General features: G+C 38.5%; 1 protein-coding gene across 56 annotated transcripts in view; it reads left to right on the top strand.

The window, feature by feature from the left end:
- The window catches only part of ESRRG (estrogen related receptor gamma), a 634,457-nt gene that overhangs the window by 460,120 nt on the left and 161,141 nt on the right, over positions 1–13,196 (top strand). For 54 of the 56 annotated variants that reach the window (XM_017000625.2, XM_047449371.1, XM_017000622.2 and 51 more), the window contains one exon: positions 92–507. The exons of the other annotated variants lie outside the window; for them this stretch is intronic. In XM_017000625.2, the coding sequence (XP_016856114.1) occupies positions 92–507 (416 nt within the window). The remainder of the gene's footprint in view (positions 1–91; positions 508–13,196) is intronic. 56 annotated transcript variants of the gene reach the window in all.

The raw sequence follows: 13,196 nt of genomic DNA, 5'->3' as shown, positions 1-13,196 counted from the left end.
TTTCACCATCTCTTTTGTTTCTACCTCTTTTGGTCTCTGTGCTTGACACTCTCTCCTCTTTCTGTCTCTCTTTGTATCTCCTCAATCTCAGGCTTCTCTGCAGAATGTCAAACAAAGATCGACACATTGATTCCAGCTGTTCGTCCTTCATCAAGACGGAACCTTCCAGCCCAGCCTCCCTGACGGACAGCGTCAACCACCACAGCCCTGGTGGCTCTTCAGACGCCAGTGGGAGCTACAGTTCAACCATGAATGGCCATCAGAACGGACTTGACTCGCCACCTCTCTACCCTTCTGCTCCTATCCTGGGAGGTAGTGGGCCTGTCAGGAAACTGTATGATGACTGCTCCAGCACCATTGTTGAAGATCCCCAGACCAAGTGTGAATACATGCTCAACTCGATGCCCAAGAGACTGTGTTTAGTGTGTGGTGACATCGCTTCTGGGTACCACTATGGGGTAGCATCATGTGAAGCCTGCAAGGCATTCTTCAAGAGGACAATTCAAGGTTAGTGTCGGACCTGGGAATACTCTCCCCACTTCCAACCTCACATGATGGGTTTTTGTTTTTCCTTATTCTTATTCTCATAAGTCAAGTATCATAGTTTTAATTCTCTCTTGAGTAGAAAATGGAAATAGATTACAATTGATAGTGGAAGATTTATAGAATAAAATCCCCCCAGATATACTCCATATCTATTAATTTTCCTCTTACTGTTAAGCTTTAATGGTGCAAGGATAATAAACTTTGGGTAGAGTTTACAAGAGCATAGTTATTATTAGAGCAATGTGGGTCTATATAGCAACTGTACAAATGCACATTGGACTAACAGTGTTTTTGACCCCTTTGGATCTTCTTACAGATGCATGGAAATAATAAATACTTTAGACCAGTGATTTCCAAACTTGAGTGTGCATTAAAATCATCTGGAAATCTTGTTAAAATGCAGATTCCTGGGTCCTACCTCCAGAATTTCTGATTCATTAGATCTGGGGTGGGGGCCTGCCTGAGATTGTATATTTTTAACAAATTTTCAGGTAATGCTGATGATGCTGCCGGTCCAGGGACCAATTTTAAGAATCACTGCTCTAGACAAATTTAATTACCTACTCATCTTTCTTTTTTCCTTATGGTTGGATATACTTTTTCTAACTTTTAAATGAATTTATATTAAAAAAAACCTTCCAAATTATACCAATAAAATGGCATTGAATGATAAAATATACCTCCAACATATATAAGTGATATATACCCCAAACTTCATAGATTTCAGATTTATAAATAACATTATTTCCGCCATACAGTGTAGAAAAATAGGACTGAAATTTGTTTATGCCCTTTTAAACTGGTAATCTACAGATCTAGAATTCAGTTCATGAAAAAGCTATAGATATATATTCTGGCAAAAAAATTAGATTTCACGTTTTTAGGTCTCTTGTAATTCACTTTTGAAGAAAATAGGGGAAGAAAAAAATATATTTTGAGGATCCACAGCACACCAATGGTTCTGCTCAGTGGTTTACAAAATGTGTCTTCCTAACAACCAGTTATGGACACAAAGTCTATCTTCCCACATATCAGTGGTTCTCAAGCTTGCCAGCTCATTGGAATCAGTGGAAGACTTAAAAAAACATGCTGATGTCAGGGCTCATGTCCCCAAATTCTGAATTAATTGGTCTTGGGTACAGCCAGGGAAAGGGGGGTTTTTGAAAGCTTCCTAGGTGATGCTTAATGTAAAGGCAAAGTTAAGAAACACTGCACTGTACTGTGTTGTATTATTTGCCAACAGTTCTCAAAGTGCAGTGGCTGTACCAGCAGTACCAGCATCATCTGGGAAAATGTAAGAAATGCAAGTTCCCAGGCCCCATCCTGTATTAACTCAAACAGAATCTCTGAGGGTGGGCCTAGCAATCTGCATTTTACCAACCCTCTGGGTAATCCTGATGCTAATTCAAATTTAGACCCCCTGCTCTAGACCATGCTACTGCTGATTCACCACTGACCATAGACCATCATCATCTAATGGCCCCTTGCTGGACAGAACTGAAACTAATTTATGTGGAGCCTTCATAATTTTGTGACGTACTAGTTTTCAAAGTACAAAAGAAGTAATGTTTGTTAAGTGCTAATCCTTTTAAATATTTTCACAAAACATGATTCTGAAACCCTTTATGTGTACATAGAGCAGTCTCCCACCTTCTCCCCCTTTTTTTTTTCTTTTTGAGGCAGATTTTTACTCTTGTGGCCCAGGCTAGAGGGCAATGGCATGATCTCGGCTCACTGCAACCTACATCTCCTGGGTTCAAGTGATTCTCTTGCCTCAGCTTCCCAAGTAGCTGGGATTACAGGCATGCACCAACACGCTTCTCTAATTTTGTATTTTTAGTAGAGACAAGGTTTCACCACATTGGCCAGGCTGGTCTCGAACTCCCGACCTCACGTGATCCACCCGCCTCAGCCTCCCAAAGTGCTGGGATTACAGGCATGAGCCACCGTGCCCGGCCCACCTTCCCTTTTAAGAGCATCTGGAAATTCAACTCTTCTTCATCAGTTGCACTGAATATTTTAGTGACAATCCTTACTTGTACTGGCTCTCCCTTGCTTTTTTGTTGTCTGTTACATAACTTCCTTGATCTGTGGCTGATGAGAACACAATCAAAATGTTTACTTAGTCAGGTGCAGTGGCTCATGCCTGTAATCCCACCACTTTGGGAGGCTGAGGCTGGAGGATCCCTTAAGGCCAAAAGTTCAAGAGATTAATCTGGGCAACAAAGTGAGAACCCTGTCTCTATAAAAAATTTACAAATTAGTTGAGCATGGTGGCATGCACCTGTAGTCGTGGCTACTGGAAAGGTTGAGGCAGAAGGATTGCTTGAGCCCAGGAATTGGAGGTTGCAGTGAGCCATGATTGCACTCCAGCCTGGGGTGACAGAGCTAGACACAGTCTCAAAAAAAAAAAAAAAAAAAGTTTACCCAAAGCACAATTTCTCAAGACATCATACTCTTACATAGTAGATGAGATACTTAATCCTAATCTTTTCATAGCCTTTCATAGTTTTAAATGAAGAGCACAAAACCAAGTTAGTATGCAGTACATATGAATGTCCTAAACATCTTCATAGCTGTATCTTTATAATTTCTGGCTCATCGTTGCTATATTTATTGATATTTTCTTACAAAAATCTTTCATTTACTGGATTTTTATTTTCTTTATCCTCATCTATAAATTGAAGGCATTAACCTCAGAATACTTAAGTTTAAAATGAAATATAAAATCACATGGAAAGCGAGAAAGCTAAAAACAATGGTCTGTGCACAAGGCTTTTCATCACTTCTGAGCATTTGAGAAATCTCTTCAGTCTATTTGGTAACACTACAAAACTTGAGAATGAAAGCACACCTCAAATCTTTGGGTGTTTACCAGCCATTGTTCCACAGTGTTATAATCCTTATGGTTACAAAGTATATACAATTCAAACTGTTATTAATTTGATTTTGTTAACTCAGTTTACACAGCTCTGAATTTTAACTACACAAAGATAAGCAAATATTTTGGGATAAATTCATGAGCACTGAGTGCGCTGATATAAGCAAGAGGTTCTCAGTGTGAAAACCACTCCCATTTATTCAACGAATATTTACTGAGAACCTGTGATTCAGACAGCAGGCTGGTTGGAGTGTCCTCTTATCCACATTTTATTAAAGCTTTGTTCCCAAAGGTTGTGGATTGAGATGAATTCCTCTAACAAATGTCTCCTGCCTTGAGGAAGTAACAATTTTTAGGGTTGAGGGGATTAAACCCTCGAGTCTTCGGTATGTTTTGTAAAGATAGAATAACAGTGTGAAAAAATTTCCTAATACATGTCTCAAAACATTTTATAGGTTAGACATTAATAGCTCTGCAATAGTTATTTACTGAGCAATAATTAGAATAGAGCAATTGGAATTCTATGCATGATTATTCTTTAGGATGCTGAAATGCTACCAAAAGCTTAACAGAGCAAAGCACAGGGTGATTCTTGGCATTGATGTATGTGCTCAGTTTTACTCCGTATTGGAGAGAGCAAGTTTCAAGGATTTTGAGCAGGAGACAGAGATGTCACTGTCCAGATTAGCACTCTGGACTTGCCCACCTGGCTGTGCTTGTAGCTGGCAGCTGCGCAGCACTTGGTGAGGCTACCCTGCTAGCTACATCATCAGACATCACACTGTGGTGCTCACTTAGCCCCAAAAAGGCAGTGAGGCAAATAAAGGGATTAAATTGTGAAAGTATAATGTAATAATTAGAGCAGTAATTGTAAGGAAGATTGGAACGGCCCCTCCTTTCTGTGGCCAAATACGGTAGTGATAGCAGTTGAACTCCAAAGATGTTGAGTGTGGCCCAGACTCTTATTCCAATGCTGAAGCTGCCTTAGAGTTCATTCTCATGCCTTCAGACAGCATTGCAGCCAAACCACCCTTAACAGATCGTAGTCTCTCCCTCCCCTCCATTAAAGCTCTCCAAGGAAAAGGAAGAGATTATGTAACTCCCCTTGACAACAAGCCTTGCTAGACTAGAGCCCCAATGGACAGGCCGTTACATAAATGTGACTCCTGCCTCACCAGGGCCTGGTTCTACTCTCATTGACTTAAGGGACGTGTGCATCCATAGGCATTTTCATGTACACCATCATCTGTTAAGATCTTTCCTTTTTAATATATCTTCTTATTATTTTTGAGACAGGGTCTCACTGTGTTGCCCAGGCTGTTGTACAGTGATGTGATCTTGGCTCACTGCAGCCTCCACCTCCTGGGCTCAAGTGATCCCTTCCCCTCAGCCTCCCAAGTAGCTGGAAAACAGGCATGCACTACCATGCCTACCTAATTTTTCACTCTTTTGTAGAGACGGGATCTCCCTATGTTGCCCAGGCTGGTCTCAAACTCCTAGCCTCAAATGATCCTCCTGCCTCAGCCTCCCAAAGTGCTGGGATTACAGGCATGAGCCATCTTACTTCTTATTTTAACAATTTATTTTTAGGATTGGTTATCGAGTGTGTAATAAATATATACGTTTAAAAAGTTGGGAAAAATACTTCTTAAACTTGGCACCAAAAGAACATATATCCAGACCATATCTTGAGAAAAGTAATACAAATTGTTCTTTTCAGAGCTGAATGTGCTATTTCTGTTGTGAAAGACAATTAATCATGGATTTCAATGAAAGGTAAATAGAAAGGAATATTTTACTTGTTGACTATTTTCAAGTTATCATTGAAAAACTATTGAATTATGTCAGCATTTAGTTGGGTAGAAGCCAAAGTTTTGCTGTTTTGTTTTTGTTTTTGGCTGACCAAAATACTTTTTACAAAACTTTGACAGCTCTACCCTGTCATCCAATAGGGTTACAGTGGCAGCAGTGATTTCACGTCATTTTCTAGGCATAGTAATTTTGGGGATGTGATATTGTTATTCTTCTGATTTTTTTTCCAATTCCAATTTTGGCCTTAATTCATAAATGATTGGAGTCTGCCTTCTTTCCCTCCTTCCTTCCTTCCTTCTTTCTTTCCTTCCTTCCTTCTTTTCTTTTCTTTTTTTTTGGGAACTTCTCATTAAGAGTTTCCCCTAGACTCTTGTTAAGGAGGCAAGAGAAGGAAAACATCCTTATACCCAAGTATAAGTAATACCCAAGTATTACATATTTCATTATTTAATAGACAAAACACTAGCCTCCTGAAGTTTTTATGTCCATATAATAAAGAAAATAATTTTATAAATAGTTTTCTTTGTGTAGATAATATAGCCATTCTAACTCCTCATTATAGTGCTAGAAATAAAGTATTCTTCTTTCCCCCACATTTAAAAGGTGGGAAATTGTATATTTAAAAATATGAGATTTTAAAAAGATGTTCATTATAGCATCGGTTTTGGATTTATATAAAGCCAGGCCCAAGTCTCAGCCACTTACCAGCTGTGAGACCTTAACCCCTCTTTTCCTCTGTTTCCCAAGTGATGAGGGTTACATGAGAGAATGAATATCGAAGTACTTGACCCATAGTAAATGTACACTAAATTATTAACTTTGGTTGATATTGGGAATATGACTGGGATACCCAGAGGCTGGATGGTTCGTGTAATCTAGCACAGAGTTATCCTTGATGCTAAACTAGAAGGACAGGTATGTCACCTTCCAGAGCTCACAGCTGTCTCCACCCTTTAGCTATGATCGTAAACCCTCTCTCCCTGTAGCCATTTCTCACTGATGGTGCCTTTATATGATTGGAGGCATTTAGGTGAACTGTCTGGAAATTTGTTTAGTTATATTTAGCTTATCGTGCTCAATTAACTTTATTTCCCTGTGAATAAGAATGGGAAACTGCATACATCAAAAAACAAGCCTGAATTTTGGAACTTGCATAAAACATAAAATTCTCAGTTTAGCTTCACTTGTGAAATTTAGGCACTGAAGTAGTAGCATATCTTCCCTGTGTGAGGTGTGGGAGTGACCATTATGGAACTAAGTCCACTCTGAACATTGCAGGACCTAGGACAAGAGTACAGCAAGCACCCAAATACTGCATAGTATATGTAAATATGTTAATGTTATAAATCAAGATACCAAATCACTAAGTGAAATTTGTTCTAGTCTCTTATTTGACCAACTATACCTTCATAATAGCCTGGGAGACTGACTTTTTATTGGTCAGTCTTTGACTCCAAGGAACAATTTTCTGTCAGTGAGAGGCAGTGCAAGGAGAGCTGGTTCATAGCCTGCAGCCCATCCCCTTTCTTTCTCTCTCCTCTATCTCCCAATCTTGTACATAGTGTGGACACCCTTGCCCACATGTCTAAGGCCCAGTGACCCCTTCCAAACAGCTGTTCCTTGACCACGCCCAGGTCTAATGTGCACACCAGAAGGGCAGTTTAGTCCAGTCTAGCTTCCAGAGAACAGACCCAAGAGAGAGTCCCGCTCAGGCCCTGGCACTTCCATGGGCTTGTGGTGATCTAGCCAGGGAGTTTGAGGGTCTCAGGTACTCAGGATCAAGGTGTACGCAGGGGACGGCTCCAGCTGGGCTTTTTTCCCTTCACACTTTGAGTGGGATCTTTGTGCTACGTATACCTTCTAAAGCCCACAGCCTTCAGGCAAGGGCTTTTCTTGTCTGAGGCTAAAGTGGCATTAATGTGAGCCTAAATCTCACCTTAAACATGGGGCATTAAGATTAGTCATTTTCCTGCAAGCCATATGCTAAAGGCATGCGGGCATAGCCCTTGGATCTGATGCAATCAACTGCTTTACTACACTGAATTGTATGACTCCTTCCTGAAGCAGGCAGTGTAGTCCTAGAGGATCTTTCCTGGTGTTGCATTTCTTTTGCCATCATGTGCTGTTTCAGTCTTAGAATGTTTTCAGCCATAGAGAAAATAAGAACTTACAAATTGAGTGTACATGATATGAACTTTCCAAAGGAAACTAATAAAATGTATTTAACCCAAATAGTGTCTAGAGAAAATAACTACCTCAGTTTATAGTAATTGGTAGCTTTAAAACTCTAATATGTTATAAAATTGAAATCCAAAATAATATGGAAATGTCTAAATTGACTTGATGAATCGCAGTGATTATCAGTTTGAATGCAGTGTTAAATTAAATATAGAAGTAATATTTTCCAAAGAAATGTTGTATATAATTCATTGCTTTAACTTTTTTTTTTCTTTTTTTTGAGACAGAGTCTCTTTCTGTTACCCAGGCTAAAGTGCAGTGGTGCCATCTTGGCTCAATGCAATGTCCACCTCCTGGGTTCAAGTGATTCTCCTGCCTCAGCTTCCCAAGTAGCTAGGATTACAGGCACACACCAGCAAGCCTGGCTAATTTTTGTATTTTTAGTAGAGACAGAGTTTCACTATGTTGGCCAGGCTGGTCTCAAACTTCCGACCTCAAGTGATCTGCCCACCTTGGCCTCCCCAAGTGCTGGGATCACAGGCATGAGCCACCGCGCCCAGCCTACTTTAACTCTTAACTTGCTTTTGTTGTAAGTTTGACTTTTCCACTTCTTGCATTTGATGCCAGTTGTGTCTGAGTTTTTGAAATGCATTAAAGTTGCCAAATTATAAATAACAAATATCATTCTACTCTTGCTATTTTAATTGTTAGGTTCAGTGTTTATTTTAATAGTAAAATATTGCAATCTTTCTTTTTTGGTGAAGAAGTACTATATGAATGGGTGTCCTAAAACAGCATAATTTAGTTTTTCTTCTCCTGGTTTTGACTTACTGGAACCACTTCTTGAGACAAATGAGTAGTGATTCCTTTTCCACGGTTTGTTCTGACTTGGGAAGTCACCTAAATTATACTTTTGAGGTTGTCAAAGAGCTACTGGTCAGCAGGCATTTTCAAGAGACAGATAATAAATTAAATAGTTTAAATATCTTAGGTTATCACATATATCAGGATCTGTGTGCCACATGCCTTCTCTGTTCCATACTCTTTGTTTTGTTTTTTTTTTAAGCTGTTTAAAAATATAAAAAAACACTCTGAGCTTGAGGGCATTCAAAAACAAGCCCAGACCTGGATTTGACCTGTTGGTCGTAGTTTGGGTAACTTCTAAATCAAGACACCCTATTTTTCTTCCTTGCAGGCAACATTGATGAAAAAGATTTTTATACCAAAGGATTTCCTAGGCAGTTTTGTGTACATATCATTTATAAAATTGAAACCCAATCTCTATCATAATGACTTTTTTTAGTCTATTATTTCCCTTTTCAGAATATTTTTACTTCTTCAGAATTTTCTAGTCTCTTTTCTCTGTTTGGATATTTCAAGCCTGTTTGAACTACACATCTGTGAGCACTATAATATATATGCGTGAATATATGTGTGTGTGTGAGTGTGTGTGTGTGTTGGCTAGCTAATTAGAAAACAGAATCAATGTAAATTAAGACAAAGTAACAGAGTGGCTGATGAAAAAAGATCTTTGGGTTGTGCAAAATCAGAGTGATTATTTTCAGAGATTGTATTTCATGGTTGATCTTTGATCAAGGAAAGAAAAATAGAATAAAATGTAATGATCCTCACTAGATTTTTGTCCTTCAAATATTAGAAACTCCAGTTTGCAGAAAAAAGAATCTCTGGTGTGATTTACATGTTTATTAAACACATAGCATTATGTTACTCTATTTTGAAAGTCATTTAAAATAGGCATATCATTTTAGCTTTGATTTGTAGGGTATATTTTCCTGTTGGGTGACACTACGTAAGAGCCTATCCCATGTAAGGGGTATATGCCAATGGTATTCAGGATGGACACAAATTTGCAACAAAACTTAATGCCCAACTATAGCTCATGTCAGATTAGGCAAACAAAATTAATTTTCCTAGCAATGTATTTGCAAAAGGGTAACCTTCTTTCCTACTGTCTCTGTTACTTCACAGTGATCTGGAAGAAGTGATAGAATGGGTTTCATATTCCTCTGCTGATATTAAATATTTATTTATTTATTTATTTATTTTTTGAGATGGAGTCTCGTTCTGTCACCCAGGCTGGAGTGCAATGGTGTGATCTTGGCTCACTGCAACCTCCGCCTCCTGAGTTCAAGCGATTCTTCTGCCTCAGCCTTCTGAGTGGCTGGGATTACAGGTGCCAGCCACTACACCTGGCTAATTTTTGTATTTTTCAGTAGAGACGGGGTTTCACCATGTTAGTCAGGCTGGTCTCAAACTCCTGACCTCAGTTGATCCACCTGCCTTGGCCTTACAAAATGCTAGGATTAGCGTGAGCCACCGCGCCCAGCCTTATTTATTTTAAGTAATACACTTTGTAGTAGCAATATCACTAATTCATGATAGTTACATTTAATAAAGGGATAAGCTTTTTCATAATTTTTCAACTTCGTTCTATCTTTTTTTTTTTTTTTTTTTTTTTTGAGATGGAGTCTCGCTCTGTCACCCAGGCTGTAGGGCAATGGGGTGATCTTGGCTTACTGCAAACTCCGCCTCCCGGATTCAAGCGATTCTTGTGCCTCAGCCTCCTGAGTAGCTGGGATTACAGGCATGCACCACCATGCCTGGCTAATTTTTGTACTTTTAGTAGAGACAGGGTTTCACCATGTTTGCCAAGCTGGTCTCACACTGCTGACCTCAGGTGATCCACCCGCCTTGGTCTCCCGATGTGCTGGGATTACAGGCATGAGCCACTGCACCCGGCCTAAACTTAGTTCTATCTTTATATTTTAACAGAACTTATAAAGTACCTGTTACATAAGCCCATATTTCATGGATTCTACTGTGTGATATGGCCTATGTTAGAATCCAAAAAAAATACGGATGTAATTCTGGAATAAATTCTCTTTACACACGCATACTTAATCAAAGCATGTACTCTTATTTATTTTTCCTTTAATAAAACCCTCTGCACTCAGAAAATAAAATCAATTCCCTATAGATCTCCTGAGCTAGTGTCCTCGGACGGAGTAGCGTGGATGGAAAGCTGCCCTTCAGGTGCTGACTGTGGGTGCAGCTGGCATAAGACCTGGTGCCTATCTGGTTCCAGTGTGGGAGCATCCCCTATCCTGACCCGTCTGGGTTACTCAAACGTACCTGTTCCCGATTCAATCATTCTCTTATGGAAAAGAAGCCCTTGCATTACCATTTCTTCCACTGATTTTTTTTGGGGGGAGGAGAGTTCTCTTAACCTGCCCCAAACTACAACCTGTTAAGTCTCTGAGCTCTCCTAGCGAGTAACTGTTGAGAAGGAAGTTTGTATTGTTTTTATGTTCCAGTCTAAGGGACTTCACAGATCACTTCCAATTAATTCTTATAAAAATGCCATTGACTTTTCTGCCTTTTGCAAGGTGGAATTTTAAATTTGTGAGTGGACTTTCAGGAAGCGGGTGTGGCTGACTCTTTGCCTACAGATCACTGGACTTTCCCCAGAGGACATGCCATCCATAATCTCTATTATCTGATGACTATTTGTTTTGATGAAGGTACTGGAGGCAGTTCTTTGATTACAAGATAAACTCCCAAACAAAGACATGAGTGCCTTTCTTAGCACTCTAATAGCTTTCCTTCATTCCTCCTTGTGCTCCCTTAACCCAGAACCAAGTCATGACAAATAAGGCTGCTTCAGACCCTGCTAGAATAGCCTCAGTCTACTGAACGGCATGTTAAATGCTTGAGAGCAAAACAATAGGAATGATACTTTGTGCTTTATATTTTTCAAAATGCATGTTTTTGTACATATGTTCAAATAGTTATACAATAAAAGCCATTCCTCCAGTGAACTCAAAATTGGTTATGGCTAAAGCCAGATAGGGTATATTAGAATGTTCACTCTAAATGTAGGAAAGAAAACAAAAAATGAATGATGAGAGTTGTGTTGTCAGAAGTTCCTATTGATGTGGGTCACTTTTGCTTGGTAACTAGTTGTGGGGGAATATGACTCAATGTGATTTGCTAAATCTGTAAGAAAGGGAGCATCAGTTCTTGTTAAAAGTCAAACTATAGAAGCTGTTAGGTAACTCATGAGGTATGGCTGGGTGGGGTTCAGAATTTTGACATGAGTAAAAGTCATGGGTCAGGATTTTATTTTCTTTTTTTGGTAAAGCCCAGGGCAGTGATGTGTTTTCCTGATATACTACTAGATGAACTTAGACAATTTCTTAGAAGTTATAAAACACATTAACTCACTCAAGTTATAAACCACATGAATTCACTTTCTTTTAAAGTTGCTGATAATGAGACTTCAGTGATGTGACGGCCTAGTCATTGGAGCTGATTTATACAATTTAAAAAGTTTCACATAAGCTCAAAATTAGGTACAGGATGCTGGTGTAGTATTTTAGCTTTTATACTTAAAAGCTAATCTGTTTGTATTTAAAAGAACTGACATTTAAACTTAAAAAATGTGGTAAGAAACATAAAATTTACCATCTTAACCATTTTTTTAATGTGTAGTACATTAGTGTTAACTATATGCTCATGGTTGTGCAATAGCTCACGAGTCTTTAGTATTTCATCATGCCAGATGTAAACTCTGCACTCATGAAACAACTCCTCATTTCTCCCTACCCCCAGTCCCTGCTAGCCACCATTCTTCTTTCTGTTTCTATGAGTTTGGCTGCTCTAGATATCTCCTATAAGTGGAATCATGCAGTCTTTGTCTTTTTGTCACTGGCTTATTTCACTTAGCATAATATCATCAAAGTTCATTCATGTCATTGTGCATGACAGGATTTCTTTTTAAAAATGGAATAATACAGGAGTCCCCCATTATCTGCAGGGGATGTGTACCAAGGCCCCCAGAGGATACCTGAAACCACAGATGGGACTGAACCGTATAGAGATGAGGATTTTTTTTTTCTATACATACATATCTTGATAAAGTTTAATTTATAGATTAGGCCCAGTAAGAGATTAACAAAAATAACTAATACTAAAATAGGACAATTATAACAATATACAGTACTAAAAGTTATGTGAATGTGGTCTCTCTGTCTCTCAAAATATTTTACTGTACTGTACCTTGGGTAATTGAAACCGCTGAAAGTGAAATCGCAAATAAGAGAGGACTACTACATTCCACTGTATGGATAGACCACATTTTCTTTGTGCATTCCTCTCTTGGCTGACATTTATGTTGCTTCCATCTCTTGGCTATTGTAAATAATACTGCAGTGAACCTGGGTGTACAAATACTTGTTTGAGATCCTATTTTTAATTCTTTTGGATGTATGCATACACCAAGAAGTGAAATTACTGGATCACATGGTAATTCTATTTTTAATTCTTAGAAGAACTCCCGTACTGTTTTCTAGAGCGGCAGTACAATTTTATATTACCATCAACAGAGCACAAGTGTTCTAATTTCTTCGTATTCTTTTCAGTGCTTGGTTATTTTCTGTTTTTTTTTTTTTTTCTTCAGTAGCAACCATCCTAATGGGTAGGAGGTGAATGTTTAAATATTTTTGAGAGATTTTATAGATATGCCAAATTTATATATACACCAAAGTTCTAATCTTTTATCACCTTAGGCTTATCCATAAGTAATTTTATATATATGGATAATGTACATAGCTGTCTTAAGATTCCTGAGCTTAATGCAATGCCTTTAGGTGAAGAATTTGTTAACCAATAATATTAATAGTAATAATAAATATATTAGTTTAATTTATAATAATAATGAATATATTTGATTTTGCAAAGTGTCACACATTGTTCTATG

Source organism: Homo sapiens, chromosome 1, assembly GCF_000001405.40.
Source record: "Homo sapiens chromosome 1, GRCh38.p14 Primary Assembly".
NCBI lineage: Eukaryota > Metazoa > Chordata > Mammalia > Primates > Hominidae > Homo > Homo sapiens.
Note: the sequence above shows the minus strand (reverse complement) of the source record. Positions and strands in the feature narration are given on the sequence as shown.